We start from the raw sequence: 22,413 nt of genomic DNA, 5'->3' as shown, positions 1-22,413 counted from the left end.
AAAATGCAGGTAATGAGAACTACTAGACTTGAGGATTTAGTGAGTTAAGCTATGCCTAATATTTCGTAGTGGCTGGCATATAGTAAGTGCTTAATAAGCAGTAGTGAGTGTTGGGAGGGCCATTCCTGAGGGAAAAGTGCTCCCCAGTCTTTAATTCCTATGCCAAGATATCTAGATCACTGTCTGATTTCTTTCTTTCTTCCTCTCTCTCACTTTTTTTTTTGTTTGTTTGAATAGGCGAGGTACCTTTTTTTAACCTACCCCTATAGCCTACTTACCTTCTTCTTTCCTGTGCCCTCTATGCGATCCAAAAACTCTTAGTTCTGGTGTGATTTAAGGATGGACTTTCAGCCCCAGGAGTCTCATCTCCCTCTTCTTCCCTCTATCTGCCACTGCCCCAAACTAGAAGGAGCAACGACCACATTAAATAAATTTTCTTTTGGTATCACCTTCACACCTACCCAGACCCATATGGAAGCTGAAGTCACTTTCTCTCAATGTGGTACAGACACATGAACTCTAAAGAGAGAACTAGAACACAATTTGTAAGTGATAGAATATCTTATTGTCATAGAAATTAAGGAAAAGATGACAAATTGTTCAAATTCTTCTTTAGTGAATTTCTAAGAGATAGTTCCTCCTTCAAATGGTCAACCCTGCAATTCTAGCCCAAGCAGCACCTTGCTATTAGCTTATAGAAAAATGCAAGTTCCAATCAAAATGCAACTTTTAAAACTCCAAATGGTCAGAAAAAGCAGCCATTTTGGAACAAAAAAAGTCAACAAAAATACCTGTAAGAGTAGGGTGTAAAGTTATATCCTTTAGCATCTTTCTTCTCATAAAGCTTTTGATAACAGAACTTAAATAAAACCACAATGCTGGAGTGAAACCTGCTTAACCCTGAGGCAAACAGTATCTGTTTTTCTTAAAACACTGCCATGATCTAAAATACTCATCATCACCCAGCTGGTTCACATAGTGAACCAATTCTAGCTGTAGTTGTAAAGCAGAGGTTAGATTTATTCACTTATTCTTTCCCTCAGCAAGCACTTTTGAGCCTCCACTCTCTGTAGAGGATTAAGAGATGCCCTGATGTACATTGGTGAAGAAAATGGTCACAGTTCTTGCCTTCATGGAGCTTAGCACTGGGGAGTCAGACAATAAAATGTCAATAAACAAGTAAAGACATAGTAACACACATATATAGTAATAAATGTCACAAAGTTGGTGTGATGATGAATATCTGAGTGACATACTTAGGCATTCCAAGAAGACCTCACTGAGAAAGGGCCAGATCAGTCTGGGACTGCAAGATAAGGAGTCAGCCTCAGAGACAGGCAGGGGGACAGAACATGGGGTAGAGAAACAAACAAGAGCAAAGGCCTGAGGCAGAACAGAGCTTGGTGTTTAAACAAACAGAATGTAGTAGTCAGACAGACTTACCTCCAAATCTTAGCTTTGTTGTGTTTATCTAAGCAAGTAATTTGAGGTAGTGAGTATTACAGTTAGAAGCAGGAACTATAGAGTCAGGCTAACAGGGTTCACTTGACTTCACCACTTACCAGATGTGTGTCCTTTAGCTAATCACTTACTTTCCCTGTTCTTTAGTTTCCTCTTCTATTAAACGGGGGGGATAATAATCCTAGTTTATTGTGTTGTTGTAGATTACATAAATGTAAATGTAAACATGTAGAACAGGACTTATCATATAGGAGGCAAATGATCCATAAATATGAACTATTCTTATTCTTAGCATCATAATTATCTTTATTATTAATATTAATATTAAAATTATCTTATCCTCAGAGAGTTAAAATGAGGATAATACTAATAATAAAACCTGCCTCATAGTATTTAGTTGAGGATTATATGAGATAATGTCTGTAAAATTCTTAGCACATGTTGTCTAGCACATACTGCTCAATGCTCTGGTAGCTATTACTACTGTTGTTTTTTTTTTATTAATAGTAGTATAGGCTCTAAGTTAAAACCAGTATCAAATCTACATGTTTTCTAAATTGACTGAACCTAAAATATTCTTAGAGCATCAAAATATTCTTAGAACTGAACTTTAGCCAACATTTCATTTGGTGCAAGTCCATATTCTATACATAAAAAGCACATTTGTTACACTTGGGTTTTCATATCTGTCACAAGGCCTTCCTCACTTGTCTCCTGTAAATGCAGCAAAGTCCCTCATCAGAGCTGCCTTTACCACTCATGGGCATCAATGCATACCTAAATATGCTTGTTGGTATATGTTATGTTGTCTTATTAATGTTTTTCCCTTTTAGCCTCAGAAGGGAATGGAAAGAACCCAGAGTTAGACATGGCCCATCTCCAAACTTCTTACCATCTCCATCTCAGCAAGGTGTGCCCAAATAAGGCAGTAAAGAAGTCACTGGTGCAGGGTAATGAGCTAAAAGTCTTTACCATCACCAGTCTCCAGACTGGCCACTTTTATAGGATATTCAGTGTGATATACAGGGTTCTGAAAATAACTTCAAAGAAAGGAGAGGAAAGAAGGAAGCAAGGAAGGGAGGAAGGAAGAGAGGAGGGAAGAGAGGGAGGAAGGAAGGAAGGAAGGAAGGAAGGAAGGAAGGAAGGAAAGAAGGAAGGGAGGGAGGGAGGGAGGGAGGGAGGGGTCAAGGGTGAAGGGAATAGGAATAGACCCACAATAGTAAATCATAGCCATAATCAAAGAGAGCTGTGACAATTATAAAAGCACAAGACCTCTTGCGTATAAATTAAATAGAAACCAGTCTGTAGACTAAATGGCAATTATGTAGTGTATCTAACAGAAATGTAATACTCTCACCACGTAGTCTTCATGCTATTTCTGTTTGATTTGATTTTCACAAGAATCTGATTGTGAGCAACCTTCAGGCGTGGTCTCTGCTTGCACAAACACACACACATATAAATATAAATATAGATGTATACTGCATACATGTGAGTATGTGTGTGTGTGATTTAAGTCAATTTAATTGCAATTCATCTTTTCCATTGTGATAGACACAGTTAATAAATAACTAAACAGGATTTTCCCTTTTTCCAACTCTTTTGCTGTCACATCAACTCCCTGTGTGTATTTGATGAAGGAAGTTATTTAAGCCTCCTTAGAATGATATGGGGAGACACAGAAGTCGGGGTTGGAGTCTGGATTTCAAAGCATGGATTCCTTATGGCTGAAGTGCTTGCATACATTTCAGGGTTTATAGCATTTCAGGCTTAACCTTATTTAAAACATATTTCTAGGAGGCTTTAATGAAACTGCAAAAGTCCTTGGTTTTAAGATATACTTGTCAGTTATTTTTCCAATTAACAAAGCAAAGGGACACCTACAGTTTCTTTTCTGAGTGCTCATCCATTCACTCTGTCTGCAATGTAATAAAAGGAGCTCTGGAATTAAGGTCAGAAAAGCCAGAGACTTTAACTGACTAAACCTACTATGATACCTTAGACAAGTTGCTCAAATGCTCAAAAAAATAAAAATGTTTACTTCCCAACTGACAAAGTGACAGAGCTGGATTAGATGATGGCCAAGCTCACTTCTATCCATAAAAATTTAAGCTTCCAATTTTAATCAATCCTATGAATTGTCTCAGTCATGCCTTGAATTTTGATGCAATACATATTTGTAGGTACTGAATAGAGGCCAACATTTGTGAATTGGAGGATGCTGTAAACGCAATTTTTTTCATAATACATGTTTTATCAAGCATAAGTCAAATCCACACCTCAAGTCTCCAGTAATTGCTGACTCTTTTTTTTTTTTTTTTTTTTTTTTTTTTTGATATGGAGTCTCGCTCTGTCGCCCAGGCTGGAGTGCAGTGGCTCAATCTTGGCTCACTGCAAGCTCCACCTCCCGGGTTCACACCATTCTCCTGCCTCAGCCTCCCAAGTAGCTAGGACTACAGGTGCCCGCCACCACACCTGGCTAATTTTTGTATTTTTAGTAGAGACGGGGTTTCACCATGTTAGCCAGGATGGTCTCGATCTCCTGACCTCGTGATCCGCCTGCCTCGGCCTCCCAAAGTGCTGGGATTGCAGGTGTGAGCCACTGTGCCCGGCCAATTGCTGACTCTTCTGTGTGTGTGCATGGCACACTGGTGTCAAGCACTATCACAATTGAGCATGTGGTTATTTTAGGGCATAATTCTCTTAAAGTAGGTGTAGGGCAAGGATGTTAAAAACATCCACCACCACCTTTTACTACACATGTATGCTTGGGAAGATGTCTTTAGGTTACAGTTTGCCAAAGAAAATATAATGTAGTTTAGAGTCTTCTTTTTTTGCTTTATCTTCTTACTATCTCACTTGACTTAGAGTTATTCTTGGTCATTTAAAGTGAAAAGTACATAGAGAATAAAAGCAAAATCACCTCCTTATACATTAAGGAGGTGATTAAATCATTAAGTTCAGATAAGGATAGTTTCACGTTTTTCCCCTTTAAAGATAACATGTAGAAACTAAAACTGTTTACTCTCCTTTTTTTAACCCTCTTGCTGCTAGGGTAAGGGCCAGTATTTAATGAGCGTGCCATTGAGTTCATTTAATAAGAAATGTAGAAAAGTGACAACAGCTGCACAATATTCTTTATCAATGTGGTAGGGAAGAAGAGGCTGTCTTGGGAGCATTCTTTTCATACTTTGTAGCTCTAAAAGTAGACATTTAATTAGATTCCATGGTTACTGCTATTATAATATCTGCTTATTTGAAGTGCAAAGATAATCATCAATTGTACACTCTTGACTACACTATTAATGGCTTTAATAACCACATTGTGTTTACATTTTGCCTGGTAACGAACACTTAGCTATTGTGGTTTTTAACATGTAGTAATTCAGTGAACACTGTCTCCATGTAATGCCCTTGCCATGTCATTCTGCTGTACTAAGTGTTGTTTTTCTAGCGAGGTCTTGAAATGTGGGGCATTATGTATGAGTTATGCTAATTTGTTAGGGCAATGAATACATTAATTTCATTAGTAAATGGCCTCAAAGCAATAATTACCAGTGTAGGTGTGTCAGAAGCGATCATGTTCAGTTTTGCCAGTTAATTATTAAGATTTTGTTCTGAGGGGCCCAGATTTGACATCCAGCTTCAATTTAGCCATAAATAAACCCTGAAGTAGGTAAGGATGAGGAAATGAAGCCAGGAACTTCTTTTGCGCTTATACACTTCCACATTTTGTCCAATTGTGACTGCCAATTAAGATGCCAAAATAATTAGTGTCATTGACATAAAGTTTTAGTGTACCTCAAAAATCATATTTTATTAAAAATAGCAATTATGTTTTCTCAATACCCTACTTTGCCTTCCATAACTGGATTTCAAATTATCTACAAAACAGTATGTAACTTGCAAAGATGAATTCCACTTAGAATTGTTGTCTGCAGTTCCTTTTTAAGCTAAAACTCACTTTATTTTTTTAAATAAATGGAATTTTCCTCTAATGGATTAATTGGCTCCATAAGTCTGCTATATTATTATACTACTTGAACCATTTGCTGCTAAACAGTAATAGTAGAACCTATAATCCAGTATTAATTTCCACAAAAATTTGACATTCTTTTTTTAATCATACACCTGTTGGAGCCATCTAATGCATCTCCATTTGCTAAAATTATGTGTGAGGCCGTTTAAATCTGAGCAATCACTCAGACTGTTTATGGAATCTTGGAATATTAAACTGTTCTCAGTGTCCTGGTGTTCTGCTCTAATGGGAAAATAATACTCTCTAGAATTTCTGGAGAAAAGAAATACTGTGGAGCTTGAGAAGCAGATGACACATGTATGTAAAGAAAGGGCATGTGAGCTGTAAGAGGAAAGGGGACAAAGCGGATGCAGTATAAGAGGATGGAAGAAGTTGTTATAGAAGAAAATGCAGAAAAGTAGCAGGTAGAAAGCTTACTGTTATCAGAGTTGAATAATTCAAAAATAGCTTTGGTTGTTTCCGCAAGTGATTATGTTCATATCAAATACCAACTCACTTCTAGATTCTGCTGGTCTTGTAGGGAAATGGCTGGTGCTTCTGTTCTCTTGATCAATTCACTAGGCAGGGAATCTATCACTGTAGCCTCTAACATCCGTACCAGGCTCTTTTTTTTTTTTTTGACTGTGTAAAAAATATTTGCTTGTTGAACACTTCCAAACTTCAACCAGATTCCTGGGATCTGAAGCTTGGCTTCCAGGTGCAACAAACCATCCTACTCCCAGGATTTGGAAAGATAGATACTGTTTTACTCTAAAGCAAATTTTCATTTACCTGGATAGATAGTGAACATTGAATACTATTAGTTATAACAGATCAAAACCATTTAGACAAAGGTGATATGGTCTTTCGGTTTGGTAATGGTGGTCCTCAATGTTAAGGATTGGTTGAAAAAGATCTTTTCTTCCCTCTCTAAATTAACACAGGATTCCAACCTTAGAAGAGACTGGTTTAGATTGGCAGAGTCTAGACATTATTCAAAGACATTTGATTAACATCCGTTTATCTTAAGTGGGACCTTTGGTGGTGATCTTGTCTTGTTTAGCTATTGCCTACATCAGAAACATCTTTACAGACATGAGTTACTGTTTTTGTGAAATACACATAAAAAACATTAGAGGCTGAAGAGCCCTCTTCGAATTGAAGATACGAAGACATAAGGTTTATTTAAAGGAAGAAGTTGGGGGCACTAAATTTGAGTTAAAGAGCGAAGATTAAAAACTGGGGCCTCTACATTACACAGTGCCAAGGTTGCCACCTTCACATCATATTCTGAATGAAGCCAAGCTTATGAATTGTACAGTGCACAACTTGTGCAGCTATACATAGCAACCCTGTTTAGTAACTCTAGAGTGCAAAAGCTCTAATTTTGTCTGAGCTCTGCCATTTACTCTCTGTATTACCTCAGACAAGTTACATAATCTCCTTAAGCCATAGTCTTCTCATCTGTAAAAATGGCAGTAATACAATGTTACCTGCTTCATAGAGGTGTCATGAAGATTACATGGGCTAATGCATGTTTGCAAGCCTGTCACATAGCAAGAACCTAATTAGTATTAGTTATCAATATTATTACTCTTGGTAATGGTATTATTTTTATTAAGTGGTAATGCCAAAACTCTGGTGGGTGTAAAAAAAACTCTGTAAAAACTGGAGGCCTAAATATGAGGCATAACTGCATAAAAGACAAAAAGAAGAAAAAAATCTCTGCCCCAACTCCCAATGGCAGTGCAAATACTAGAGACTTCACTGATATCAACTCACTTGCAGATTCCTAGGCTTATGGGCTTTCTCAACTTAGTGTCCTGCCACAAGGATTTGAAATACTCAGCTCCCCCAGTGTCCTTCAATTGTATGCCAATTTTTGTTTCTGGATCACACTTCCTTCTTTTATTTTCTCTTACTTGTTTATTTCTTTTCTTTTCTTTTCCTCCCATATTTCTCCCAGTGTCTCCACCATCCTCCACTGTTCTCTCTGCTCCTTCAGTTACAGTGATGTTTTCCAGATTAATCATATCCCTGGCATGCTCCTGTTTGTCCCCATGTCACAGACAGTACATGTGAGTTCTTAGATCCAAACCTCACAGGGAATCTGCACAGTGTGGGTAGAGCCAACCAATTTTAAGGATTAATGCCCAAAAGCAATTAAACTCTAAGTAGTATTCCCCTAAATCTCTTTCTCATAACCTGCCACAAGGTACTTACAAGTGTTACTGCAAATTTTGAGTGCTACTATGCACCTTCAATTGTGTTAAGGCTTTACATAATTTTATTATTTAATAGTCACTAACTTATAGGTATAAATATTATTGCTCCTTTAGGGATGATAAAATCAAGACTTGGAGAGAGTCTGAATTATACCTACCCATGTTCATATAGCTGGTAAGCATTGAAATATTTAAGCCCAAATGTGACTTCAAACCCTATTCTCTTAACCACTACCCTTTCCATTAGATTTTATAGATTCTTGCCGTTTAAGTCAAATGCATCAACATAAGCCTTGGAGCATTCCATAGAAGAAAAAACAAGGAGAGCTTTACTACCATGTGTAAGCTATTTTTTGCCTTATTTCTTAGAATGTTGACTCTATTTCTCCTTTCCTGCAAGCTAACGATACAAAGATGGTAGTTATCCCTGTGGTTTGCAGGCATGCTTATCCATCACAGGTCTGTTTTCATCTGGGTTTATTTTATAATCTAAGCAGGCTCTGTTTTTAACACCAAGGGAATAGAAGGATGCTAATAAGCCAATCCCAGACAATAGCAAAAGACCCATTCAGTTAATATTAGTGCATTTAAGAGCAGAGCAAATGACTTCCAGCAGCCATCTTCATTCAAGTGCTTCAATGGTTAGCAATATATGGGCTCCAAAGCTCCTAGGAAATAGCAGAGTTAATACCAGAGGTGAGTAAAGATAAAGGCAAGGATTTCCTCAAATATTATTGTCTTTCATAAAGATGCATTTAATTATTTTTCTGTGTATTTGCAAAGATCTATAGATGTGGAAGTGACTAATAATGCAGATTTAAGAACACATATATGAAGGATCATGAGACTTTATAGCAAAGTGAAATGGGTTCTCCTAATAAAAAAGATGGAGAACAATTGAATACCATCTTCTGGACTCAAGAATCTCACTTTTGAAACTTAAGCAAGACAGAAATACAGGTACCAAAGGGCATCCTGTTTCTCTCTAATGAGAGAATGTGTACATTCATTCCTCCAAGCTCCAAAACAAATGATAGATTTCCACAGCTTTATGTAGGAACAACAGGTCCAGGTCTGTAGGGAAATGAAAAGAAAGGAAAGTAGGTGGTTTCTACCATTCAGTCTGCAATTTATGGTGATGTCACTGCCCTTCTCTTTAAGCCTTGAGTTTAGTAAAAGATAATGAGACAGGAGAGTTCCCTTGACTCCCTGTGGGTTTGCGACAGGGGTAGCTGGTTTATTTGGTCACCAAGCTTAAACACCTTGTGGGAGGGGGAGCACGCAGGTGAGCAGGTGCAGAAGCCAGGGCAAGTGCCTTTGGGCGCCAGCAGGAATGAACTCCATGCAGGCCCGCTCCAGCGTCTGGGGGTTGCTAGTGACCTCTGGAGCCCCAGAGGGCATGTGTTACAAACAGTGCTTTTTTAGCTTTGCTATCTGCAAATGGCTTCAGTTTTAAACAGCTCAGTGAAGAGTCAGGGTCCCACACCAAGTGCATCCGGAATTCTTGTCTGGCATCCAGGAAGAATCAGGTCACATGAATGGATTGAAGGGTGGTGTATGCAGAGGATCTTATTGACCAATGGAAGTGGCTTTCAGTGGGATGGGGAACTGGAAAGGAGATGGAGGGGGAATATAATCTTCCCCTGGCTGTCCCCGGCTGATCTCTTCTCCAACCATAGTCTCTGATGTCCAGCTACCTCTTCTCCTCTCAATGTTCAGAAGTTTCTTCTCTACTCTCCTTCTCTGCTTTGCCACTCTGCTCCTCTGCCAGTGGAACTTGGGGTTGTAATGGGTACAATGGGTACAGGGTAGGGGGGTGCGGCAGGCCAGGGTGGTTTTGGAAAAGACAACATTCGGGTGGGAAAACAGGAATGTATGTTCTAATTTAGGGCCGCGGATCCAGGCTTGAGGGTGGAGCCTCTGCCAGGGACCCCTCCCTAGTCGACCCAGTATTTCTCTGCCTCCTGTCTGTATCAATAAGATATTGCCAGAGTTAAAGCAAGTCATATGAAAAGGTAAATGCAACAGAAGTCTTTATCTTCATGCATTACCTACACGTAAGCTATTGCTTTTCAACCTATGGCACGTTGTGGAATGTTCTTCAAAGGATATAGCTGGAAATCAGTAGAAGAAATGCCTGGAGAGCCCAGGGAGGGTCTCTTGCCCACCAGATCCTAGAAACATCACGTAGTTTCATGAGAGATAACCCTTAATGCCCAGCCCAAAGAAACCATATTATCTCAGCTTTAACTACCTCCCATTATCCTCGTACTCTGGCACCTCCCAGGTCACTGCCTTGTTCCATCATATTTGAAAATTGTCCCAACTCCAGAAGATGTGGCTCGGCAGCCGGGTTCTGCCTCAGCACATATCATCTCCTCGATTCCAGAAGTAGAACTATCCTTCCAGGATTGCCTGGTTCTCTTTGCAGAGATCTCCAAGCCACCGTGTTAAAGCCAAGTCATAGATCTCTGCTGGTGGGGAACTCTGCCTATTGGGAAGACAGCACTATTGTCTTTTTTGCCTGCTGCATACAAAAGTGAGGCAATGTTTTGTTAGTGGAGCTAGAATGTGAATCTAGAACTTGTTAAACAGTGCGTATCTCTGCTTATTCACATGGATTTAGATGGAATCTGAACTTCTGAATTTTAAATTAATATTTATGGCACAATTTAATATACACTTAGTCATGTAAAGAATCTGATTGAAAGATGTGGTTTGCACATAAGCCCCACCAGAAACTCATTTACTAACAGAATCCAACCCTAAGTAAAATAAACAGCTTTACTTTCTACTGACATTTTATAACCACCTTAAGGGAAAGGTGGAGAGGGGCATTGGGTTTCCATGTGGATTTAATTCAAGAACTTCCCAAGAAAGTGCTTGAAGGCAATACAGTAGTGAGCCAACTTTCTTCTGTTAAGTCACAAAAAAAAATAGACTGTACCAAATAGAGGGGATCAACCCCAGCTGCAAAGAGGAAATTTAGAATTATCATCATACCAGTATCAGAAGGTCCTTTATGTTTATAGCTTCATAAAAGTTCACAGAGTATGTGCTGCCAACTAATAAAAAAGTAATGAAAAATTTTGCAGATTTTTTGTGTAGACAGCAGTTACCTAATCCCTAAATCCTGATGAATTCATATATTCAAAATATTTAAAAGGCCAAATACACCCAAGAATTTGTGATCCCTTTAAAGGCATAAGTCTCAACCTCATTAATAGATAAGAAACAACTCTATTGTTTGGCTGTACATCAATATGTGTTTGAAATGAATTCTGATTCCTTTATTGCCCAAATATTTGAAAAGCCATAATTAAGCAATGACACTCCAGGGTGAATGTTATTAGGTAGTACTGAAGGCCTTGTCCCTTTAATGCCCCTTGATGTGTGTGATTACCCAAAAACCCCTGGCTTCCATGTCTTTTTGTGATTACAAAGGAGGTCTCTTTCACATTTATTTTTTAAACGAATTTGAACAAGAGAGCTTTTGTATTTACTGTACTAAACACATCCACCCATTTAGGGAAAAATAGTTCCTATTTGAAGGGTGAAAGGAAGCACATGAAAAGCGATTGAAAATATTTTTTCCTCTATTTTTGGTGCTGAGCTCCCCGCCAAGGGTATTTTTAATACAAAAGTGCAGACACCTTCTGTGTGTTTCATAAGTTCCTCCCTGTCTCCCTTCCTGTTCACATCACTCTGAGCCCTGCACCATCACCTGGCCTGGTCTGTCTAGTAGGCTTTAGTTTAGCCTCAAACAGATTGCCCTTAACCTTTATTTTTCATTACAGAGTGCAAAGCAGGAGGCAGTGGGGGAGGAGGAGAATTAAAATTGGAGGTGTTTCAAGCGTCTGTACTACATTATGCCACTATATGAAAAAGTCATATAGTTTGAAATGAAAGGTGAAGTATGGTGCTTGTGATCTGGCATTGAAATTCATTGCTGTGTAGAGCTCATAAAAATCTGTATATAAATGTTGCTGCTATTATTTATGAATAATAATTGTATGATAATGCTTCCTCTTGAGTTAATTATTTGTGTGGAGGCCTAAAGAACGTTTAGCTATTATTATTATTTATAAAATCTGTACATTTATTGAGTGTAGGTAAAACATAGTTTACCTACATTATCTCAGTTAATCTTCACAATAACTATATATGTGTTCGTATGTATATATGTGTATATATCTGTGTGTGTATATATATACATATATGTATATAATGAGTTACATAGCTGGTAACTTATCCTAAGTCACATAACTAGTGAGTATTGAAGAGAGATCTTTGCCCAGGTCAGCCAGATCAAAAGCCCAATATCTTAACTAGTTCACTCCGTAAATCCTTGCCATCCCTCGACCCATGTTAAATAAGTAAATAAAGAGTAGCCTTTTACAGCTAAAGAAATCAAGACTGAAAGAAAACAATTAACTTATAAATGTCACATAGTTATCCAGCAGTGGGCCAGGGAATGGAAAGCAGACATTTCTGAATATGGCTCACTGCCTTGACCGCAAAACCACGTAGTCTGAACTCTTTTGATGATCCTTTCTTAGGGAGTGGTTATTAACATTGGAAAGCTTGAATGATCATGATGGAAGTCTAGATTAGCACCAATTGCATTTTTTATTAACAAAAATATAAGCTTCCCCATGAGAGCTACTGCCTGGGAGGTATGAAAGAAATATCCAGACAGAGGATCAAAATAAAACAAACCCAATTTAAAAGCCCTCCTTTTACCATAAATTCAGTGCACTAGAGGTCAAATCAGACCCTTGTGTGCAAATGAAGTAAAGTATATTTCTTGTTTAACACATATGTTTTACTCTCCTTTGACCACCACTTCTTTTTGGTAACAAGATTCTATTATATATAAAATGGAAATGCTACCAGCTTGGAGTTTTAGCAAATTTCCAGGGCTTTTGTACATTTTTTTTTCCAGTGAGCACATGAATCAAGTAGAAACAGAGAAAACCACACACACACACACACACACACACACACACACACACACACACACACATACACGCACTCCAAAAAAAGACAAAACATAAAAAGCTATCCGGGACACCCCTTCTGGTCCCCACCCTGCTGTTTGCATCCTGTCCTGCTGAGATAGATTTCAAGAGGGCAAACCACCTAAGTACCCTTCGACTTGCCCATTGTTCTGATTTTGCAGGCATATCATTTTTCACCCGAGCACAGTTGCCAAGCACCGGCAAGATGCCCTGGTAAAAAACCCACACCTCGCAGTCGGCAGCCGCCCTGCCTGTCCCCTTAGTCCCAGCCATTCGATCATCTCGCATGGAACTGCCTGGAGCTGTTTGTTGAACTGCTTCATGTTACTCTTTGACTGAGAGAGAGACAAATGTTCCATATTATCTTTAATTTCCATAAAATTGTTTTAATCTTTGCTTTATAATAAATGTATAACGGTGCCCCCGGGGGATCTCTGTTTTGTATTATAGGTGTCTCCATTGGAGTTATGCGCAAGATAGAACTGCTCAGCATTTGCCTTTCACCCAAAGGACTCGAAAGAGACTTGAAACAAAAGATTCCTCTGGGAATCATCCATAAGCATAAAATGGAAAATTTCCTTTCCCCCAATATGCCTCATCCAGTCTCCCCATGATTATTAGCCAGATCAGATCAGGAACGTAAGCAGCAGGAACTGAAAGGGATTTGCCTTCTTTCTGACCGCACCAGATTTGGGTATAATATTTATATATATGCGTCTCTATATATATCATTATAAATATATAATATATAAAAACATAGTCATAAAATATATTTAATTAAAGAAACAGAAAGCCTCCGCCAACCTGTAGGTTTTAAACTTTTTAGCTCTGATGGCTCCTTAATATACCAGCTTGATGAAAAAGGAGAAGGGGAGGGGGTGAGAATGGGGAAGGTCCCATGAATACATTTTTTGACATTTTTTTATTATCATTTTATCTAGGCTAGTGGTAAATGGATGGACTTGTCAGCAGAAATCTCTTGGTGAAGTAAATAAAGAATCTTAATAGGCAGGGAGGATAGAACTAACGGCAAATTGCTCACAAAGAGATCTAATTTATTGGTTTCTTTTTCACTGAGATTCTGTTCTGGATTCTGGCTTTGCCAGAAGAAACAGCTGAATGATGACATGGATCCATACGCAGAGAAAGTGCTCTATCTGGTAGAAAAGGAGAAAACGTGGAAAGATTCTCTCTGTGGCCTTACCCCAGCTTCTTTTGAAAGTTAGCTGCCTTATTACTGCCATGGTATCTCTATGTAAAGCTGGAGCTTGGAAGGTCGCCTCTATTTTTATTTTCTGGTCTCAGTTAATAAGCCCATGCTGTATTCATGGAAGAAAAATATTAAATGTGGCCACACCAGTTATAATATTATGGCAATTTGGGTTTAAGTATAATAAAGATACCAACAAGGGCTCCTCAGTTATTAATATGTTTTCAGGTTAAAAGGCAGCAATAAATCATAAAGAGCATTTCCAAGCAGTAGCACTTTTATAGAAAATTGCTTGCTATTTAAACAAAATATTTGCTCTTCATCTCAGGAAAATATGTGGATGCTTCTGAACAAGGAGCTATTTTACCTACCCTCTGCCTCCTATAATTAGCCCCATCCTACTTAAAATTTTTTTTTTTTACTTTGCTTGCCTGGATCACAGGAAAGTGGGGCTCAAGTTTGCTTTGGACAAATGAGCAGTTTCTTCATTAGTAGCCTATGTTTTTCTAGAAGGTAAGGTTCTGAATTTAAATGTTTGTTTTTCTGTATCCTTCCTTCTGAGAGGGCTGGAGACCTCTGTGTGGCTCTCTTGTGGGCACAAATGACTAAGATAAACAGACAGAAAGTTTTCATTCAGTAGACATGGGTAGACTTTTCTCTCCACCACATGTGAGTATAGAATTTATTTCGCTTATGCATTTAGGAAAATACCTCTCCAGCAAACCCTGGGCCCAGAGATCTGCTCAGGATGCGTGCCATTTATCTCCAAAAGTTGGATTATTTACATATTTGGGCAGAGGTTGAAGGGAGATAGTCACCCAGATATTAATCTACTTTTCTTGACTTTTGGATTACACTTCCATGTTTACAGGAAGTAAAGGATAGTTGGGGCTCTTGTGTAGTGCTCATTTGACCTTCTCCACTTCATTATAGTCTCTTAAAGAAGCCAACAAATATGACTGACTATACCTCACTGATCATATGGCTAATGATAGTTTATTGTTTATTCACTTACACTGGAAAGAAAACATATCGTGAATATCCGTTTAAATATTTCATTTGGCCAAAAATAACTGTGTCAATAGCATATGGGATCAATCCATAGGTGAAAAACAAACTAACCCACCATGTTCTAGGTGGATTGTAGTGCCAATTTCATATTCTAAGTTAAATATGTTTTTTTTCTTCTCTTGAAAATAAGTTCCTAAAAAGAGTTCCTAACATTCCAAAAAATGATTGTAAATCCACCAAGTTAATTTATGAACCAATAAAGTCCTGTCAAGTCTCCTTCTCATCTTCTGGAAAACAGGTCTGCAGTGAGGAAAAAAAGGCCAGCTAGTTACTAAGGAAATATATTCTTGCTTCTTGTATATTCCTCTTAAGCCTTGCTTCAGAGTCAGCTTCTGTGCACTGTGGAATATGGAAATCCTTCCAAACACAGAAAGTATTTGGGGCGATAATGGTCTACATTGTTAGACAGTAAGGCTTTAAGGAAATTAACAATAAATGCATCATTATTATATCCAAACTGCCATCAGATTAAATTCAAAATTCTAAATGAAAAGCTGAGGCATTCAGTTTCTTAGACACATAACATAAAATCAAGGCTGTTATGAGGAGACAGTATTTAAGATGTCCCCCTCCCTTTTCTCCTCAGTAAACACCTTGTAAATTTGTCTGAAAATTTCAAATTTTGCATTAATTGAGACTCCTTGCCTGTTCAGTTGAGTTTTGGTGTGAAAATATATCAAATCATAACACACAAAAAGCTGCTCTCTCAAGCCACATTTCATAACATGATTTCATCAGATGGTCTTAATTTTCTGCATGACATTATCTTTTCAAGCTGACATAAGACTGGGCTGTGATATTTGCATACTCAAGACAGAACCATGCAGCTTAACTATGTTTCTGCTTGTATGGGAATTTGGGGCATTTTTACTTTGAGGAATCAAACAAATAAACCTTCCAAAAAAAATTTCCTCTACTTTTTGAATGACTTTGTTCTTGCCTTTTAATGAAAGAGACACTCTGAGCTATTTTAAATGATGCTGTAGTATCCAAATCAGTTGTCTCAATATATGTGAGATGTACATATCCTTTCTCTTGAAGGTCTCTGAAGCCCAGACCAATTAGTCAAGAAATCTTGGCTATTTTAGTTGACTAGTATCCATATCATTGTAAATGTGCAAAAAAAAAAAAAGTAGCTGTTTTTATGGATGGAAAGGTTTAATATTTTAAATCTTGAAATCCAGACCAAATTTGTCACTGACTTGGGAGTTAGAAGACTTAGCCATTGGCTTCACTACTTGGCAGCTCTGACTGGACTAGGCAACCACCTACTATGTCAATGTCACTTAACTAGTCAATGCCAATATCTCTGTCACGTCATTGACAATAGCATTGTCATGACAATGACAGTGTCAATGTCAAAGTCTTCTAACGTGTATATTCACTTTTCATTATGCATGTATTTCTTGAGTGCTAGGCTCTATTTTAGGCACTATAAATTTGAAAATATTTATTAATTTGTCTGGAAATGCAGAAGTTTAGGATGAGAAGGGAACCTGAAAGAGAAATCCATTCTATTCTAGAATGAGGGAAATGAGACCATGTTGGTACAATGACCCATTTAGAATATGTTGCAGTTAGAGGTGACAGATGTGATGGTTAATCATAGGTGTTCATTGATTGGATCATGGGATGCCTAGATATCTGATTATATGTTATTTCTGGGTGTGTCTTGAGGGTGTTTCTGGAAAAGATTAACATTTGAAATGGTGGACTGGGTAAAGCAGATTGCCCTCCCCAGTATGTGTGGGTATTTGTTGAGGGCCTGAATAGAATAAAAAGGCTGGGGAAGGTTGTATTTGCTCTCTGCCTTATTGTTTGAGCTGAGAGATCAATCCTCTTCTGTGTTGGATAGTCCTGGTTCTCAGGCCTTCAGACTTGGACTGGAATATGCACCACTGGTTCTCTAGCTCCCAGGCCTTTGGACTACCACCAAAATAAAAACTTTGTCATCATCATTGACTTTTCCCTTTCTCATACCACACATCAAATTCATCAGCAACTCCTTTTAGATCTACCTTCAGGATGTATCCAGGCTCTGAGCATTTCACACCATTGCTTCCATTTCCCCTTTAGTCCAAGCCTCCATCATCTCTTGCTTGGATTATTACAAAACCCTCCTAACTGGTGTCCCTGCTTTCTTGCTTTCCTCCTGTAGGTTATTCTCAACTCAAAGACTAGGTGATCCTCTTAAAATTTCACATCACTTGTTATTCCCAAACCTCCCGTGACTTCCTCCTCACTCAGTACCAGATCCTAACTCCTCACCAGCTGCAATGACCTTTTATGGTTTTGCCCAGCTCCTTTCTGATCTCCTTCTACTACACCCACATTTGCCTCCCATGGTTGCTCCGGAACACCACTGCATGGTCCCTCCTTGGGGCCTTTGTGGTGTTCCTTCTGCCTGAAACACTCCTCCACTTCCTTTAGGTCACTGCTTAAATGACCAAAGAGGCCTTCCTCGAACTCCGCATGTAAAGTAGCAACCTTATCCAACTCCATCTCTTGATTTTTTGTTTTTTGTTTTTTGCTTTTTTTTTTTTTTTTGAGATGGAGTTTCACTCTTTCGCCCAGGGTGGAGTGCAGTGGTGTGATCTCGGATCACTGCAACCTCCACCTTTCCGGTTTAAGCACTTCTCTGCCCCAGCCTCCTGAGTAGCTGGGATTACAGGCATGTGCCACCACGCCTGGCTAATTTTTTTTTTTTTGTATTTTTAGTAGAGACGGGGTTTCACCATCTTGGCCAGGCTGGTCTTGAACTCCTGACCTTGTGATCCACCTGCCTAGGCCTCCCAAAGTCCTGGGATTATAGACGTCAGCCACGGCACCCAACCCAACTCCATCTCTTTCTGTTTCTTTACATTGCTTTAATTTTCTTTGTGACCACAAGAAATATGCTGCTTTTTTTGTGTAGGGAGTGCCTATTTTCTATTCCCTCAACTAGAACATGCTTCCAAGCTAATGGAGACTTGATATTATTCCTAGCCTGCACATAGCAGTCATGCAGTACACCAGCAGCAAATTAATATTCACAGGATGCCAAAACAATGCTAGGTCCATTCTCTGCATTATCTAACTAGTCCTCACAACCCTATAAGGTAGGTACTAGAGTATCCTCACCTTACAGCTGGAAAACAGAGGTTCAGAGATGCTTGCAACTTACCCAAGATCTCACAGTTAATAAATGGCAGAACCGGGATTCAACTCCAAGTGTATCTCACTCCAAAGCTCAAGCCCTTAACCCCACCTTTTTATTGCCTTTCAATAAATATTGTAAGAATAATTGATGTATTTATGGAAAAACAAAAGCATAATTAGATTCTTCTTGCTCCCCAGAGCTTTCACAGTTTAATTCCATTTGCATTGGATGCCCAATGTGAATCTCTTGTTTCTTCTTTTTTTCTAACGTTTAGAATGAAATTTCTCAAGCCTCAACAATCCTCTAAAAGCAGCCTTCTGAAATGAGTCTTCTCCCCTTCTCCAACCCTGTCCCCATTATACTTCTAGAGGGCTGGTTTTATAATAGTTTGTATATTCTCTCAGCACTTTTTAAAGAAGAATACAATATAGCTGATCTAATGGGCAAGGGTGGAGGTAACAGAGGTGTATTTGTAGGATTGCCTGTTTCCTTCAGATTCTCGCTCTGTAATTTAGATGGTTGCCTAGCATTTGTTGTGAGAAACTTGAGGGGAATTCGAAGCTAGGTTGAAGAATCTACTTCCCAGGAATGTTGAAGAATAGAACTGATAAACTATGCAAATTAGCATGCCATCTGGACTTCAAAGAAATTAGGTTGGATTTATTTAATAAATGTTTTCATGAAAATAGAAAGTTTTAATTCCTTTGAACTTATATATGTATTTTCTGTGACTGGTCCCTTTTGGAGAAAATTTGTGAAGAAATCTGGCATGCATGAACTTAAATCTACAGCATGGAATAGGAAATTTGATGCTCCAAATTGCTGTGTGTGTTTGTGTGTGTATACGCTTATACATGTAGACTGTATTTTAAGGGATGGCTTATCTGAGTCAGCCTAGCAGGGCTGCTCCCTGTCACACCTTTCATTCTTTAAGACTTTCTATTGTTTGGTAACAAATATAGGCTGCTTCTTATCAGAAAACAAGACTAGTGAATGTGGTTGGGTTCACCCAGTTTTGGCATCTTAACAATATCTAAATTAATTTTTAACTCAAGGCTTTAAAGCGGCAACAAAGAGTTAAGAGTTGACAAGTTCCATGAAAAAACTATAGATTTACTGAATCTTCAACTTAAGTAGAGCAAATCCTATAGAAGAGTAAGGATATAGCTCCTAGGTGCTTGTGACCTTATCTAACCAGCCCCTATAGTATCAGTTGGTCAGGTGGTCAGTGGGTGCAGATGCAGATTGTTTTCCCTGCCCCAGTCTCATTGCTCAGCCTCTGATTCCCCACTGTTGACTTCCTGAACTCATTAATGGTTCACATTGGAATGGTTGATAGGTTACTATGAGGAAGTCCATATTCTAAGTAGTTCACATAAATATCAGCTAACTGTAGACCCTTTGAGGTAGGGGTTTTCATTCTCCCTGGCATGGAACAGTCACTCAGAAAATACTGAAGCACAGAGAGGCTAGGTAGTTTGTCCAAGGTCACTCAGCTAGGAAGTGGCTGGGCCTCATTAAAACCCATGCAGTCTGGCTCCAGAGCCTAGGTTCATCATCACTATGCAATGCTACGCCTGTGAATTGCAGATGACTCTGCTCATTAGCCAGCAGCTAGCTGGTGCCTGTGAGGTCATTAAAGTATACAATTTCTGCTACAGCTAAGAGTTCATCAACTGCTCTTAATGCTGAAGTGTCATTTAGAAGGAGGTTCTGGAGTCCAGATCATGGTTTCAAGCAACAACTCTCCCACAAGCTGGTGGCATGACACAGCAGGTTATCCCCTTTTGACTCTTCAGTTTCCTCAACTATAAAATGAGGGGGGTGGGCACTAGAAGAGTTTAAGATCCCTTTCAGCTGTAACATTTTATAAGTCTGCTTCCTCTCTTATCTGTTCCTATTTCTCTCGCCTTTTAAAAGTTACAGCAATTGGTTTTTGCACCAATCTGTGCACTACAAAAGCTGTAGATATTATTTTGCACTGATACTGAAGTGACTGCCTGTATCACTGTCCATGACTACTTACTTCCAGGGACTCAATGGCTAGAGTGAGAGACGAGCAAAAACAATGATGCCCTAGTGCCATGAGACGAATAGCACATCCTTCCTGCCCAAAGATGATTTATACAGGGAGAAGTCATGTAAAGGAAATTCACTGAAGATGGAGACCAAATTTTCATAGGCAATAGTGACAAAAAACTATTATAATTTCATATAAAAATGAATCTAAAATATATGAAAATAAATGTGCTATTTTTTCTTATAACAACAGAGTTTTGATTATATTCCCAACTAGTTTTAATTCTTAAAATGAAGAATGAATCAAATATTGACTTTTGGGAACTTACTTTCTCTGACATATTATATGATGGCCTGATTGAACAACTTTTATTTCAAATTTTACCTACTATGTGATCATAAAAAATAATATTTTTTGCAAGATTCAGGACACTTCATCAATCCTACAGCCCTCTATTAATCCTTAAATACTAAAATCATTCTTATCTGAAGTTTAATTTACTCTTCTTATCCATTTTCTCTTGTTTGTTAACTGGTTTGAGTTTACAAGATTTTCATTTGTCATTGATTTTGCAGGTTATTCGGAAGTAACCAACATCATCATCGTCAACCTTGTTTTTTCAAGATTTTCTGTTTTACTCCATAGTGTATTTATAGTGTTTGCATTCTGTGGTACAGTGTTTGACCATCACTGAAATATTGAACATTGGAAGCTTTGGCTTTCCTGGAAGAGACAAATCCTGGGGCCAAGCTTGGTAAGGATATTTGCGTGAGGATTAATTTTAAGTGTTCACAGCATTTGAGAATATTTTCACGTTATGTCAACTTTTGCTTTCCTATGCAACATCAGAACTGCAAGTGCTCAAACATGAATACTTGCTTGTTATAATACAGAAATGGTGGCAACTGTACTTCATTAGATTACAGACACACACATTTCATTGATCGCATTACTTAAACACTTAACTATACTACACGTATTCGCAAGACTGGGTTCTCTGTTATCAATTAAGTAATGATTCAGTTTAATGGTTAAATGCCTGTATGTCCACCTTTTTTGAACTGAAGAAATATTTTAAGTCTTAGATGTCCCTTACTACAGAGAAAATTTCAGAGATCATCACCATCAGCCTAAAACTGTTTCAGCCGTACCTATTATATATTTGAATAAAGACTAATTATTTAAAATAAATTCTAATATTAGGTATATTTTATAAAATAATTATATGATGCACATTTCTTTCTTTTAAGGGATGAGTATTCCTTTAGCATCTTAGTGACAATGTAAATGCCAGATATGTATTTGCCTTCTGCTCATTCACCACTCTTCTCCTGCTCTGATTGTATCACAGCAACTACATTTTTAGATTTCCATGCCAACTAGTTGAAGAGTAGTTTCAGCCAATGGAAATGGATTGGAAGCAGCCTGGAGGGTGGAAAGAAGAGACAAGGGAAGACGTCAGGATATCTCTTTTGATACCTGTTAAGGTGGCATCTGTGGCTGTGGTTGTATTTCCTCCACTGCTCTAGCTTCTACCTGACAGACTTCCCTCCCTGACTCCAGCTTCTACTGGGCAGCATCCTTCATGGTTCTAACCCCAAATGGTTTTCACCAGCTTTTAGGCCTGGTAGCACCAGCTTCTCCTTTTTTCCCTGGCCCTCAGGATCGTCATGGCTTCCTGCTATTGCCAATTTCCGGGTGCCACACTGTCTCCTTTATGGGTTCTCAGCTCTCCCATCATCTATATAACCACTTTCTTGCATTAAATTTTCTCTATTCAAACTACCTACAGTAGTTTTGCTTTTCTTGAACTTAGTCCCTGACTAATATGATAGGCATGCAATTAGGAACTAGTGAACCATTAGTGTCTAATGGTTCTACTTCAAAATCACTTCCTGAAAATTTCCTATTTGAGTTGTGCTGAATTCTTTGAATAATGTGTATAGTTGCTCAAACATACATGTGTCATTGAAGAACTTTCAGTGAAATGGGAACTATCTTTGGCATGTATTGTTCAAGATCCAAATGTATTTATTAAGGCCAAGAGTCAGTTCCTAATTTCTCTAGGAAATACATTATGACTTCCTATTTTGTGCCATTCTTTCAATCCATTATTACAGCACCTATTGTATTGTTGTATTAGTCTATTCTTTTTTTATTATTTTTTATTTTTTTATTTTATTATTATTACACTTTAAGTTTTAGGGTACATGTGCACAATGTGCAGGTTAGTTACATATGTATACAT

At 38.3% G+C, this 22,413-nt stretch overlaps 1 annotated feature.

The window, feature by feature from the left end:
• Positions 12,814-13,108: a silencer, noted in NCBI's record as "tiled region #1395; K562 Repressive non-DNase unmatched - State 24:Quies". NCBI's record gives its function as "represses a minimal TATA promoter and a strong SV40 promoter by Sharpr-MPRA in K562 cells {active_cell/tissue: K562}" and the evidence as "EXISTENCE:reporter gene assay evidence [ECO:0000049][PMID:27701403]".

The sequence above is a fragment of the Homo sapiens genome, chromosome 1 (assembly GCF_000001405.40).
Source record: "Homo sapiens chromosome 1, GRCh38.p14 Primary Assembly".
In the NCBI taxonomy this organism is placed as follows: domain Eukaryota; kingdom Metazoa; phylum Chordata; class Mammalia; order Primates; family Hominidae; genus Homo; species Homo sapiens.
This window is presented reverse-complemented; position numbering and strand designations above follow the sequence as displayed.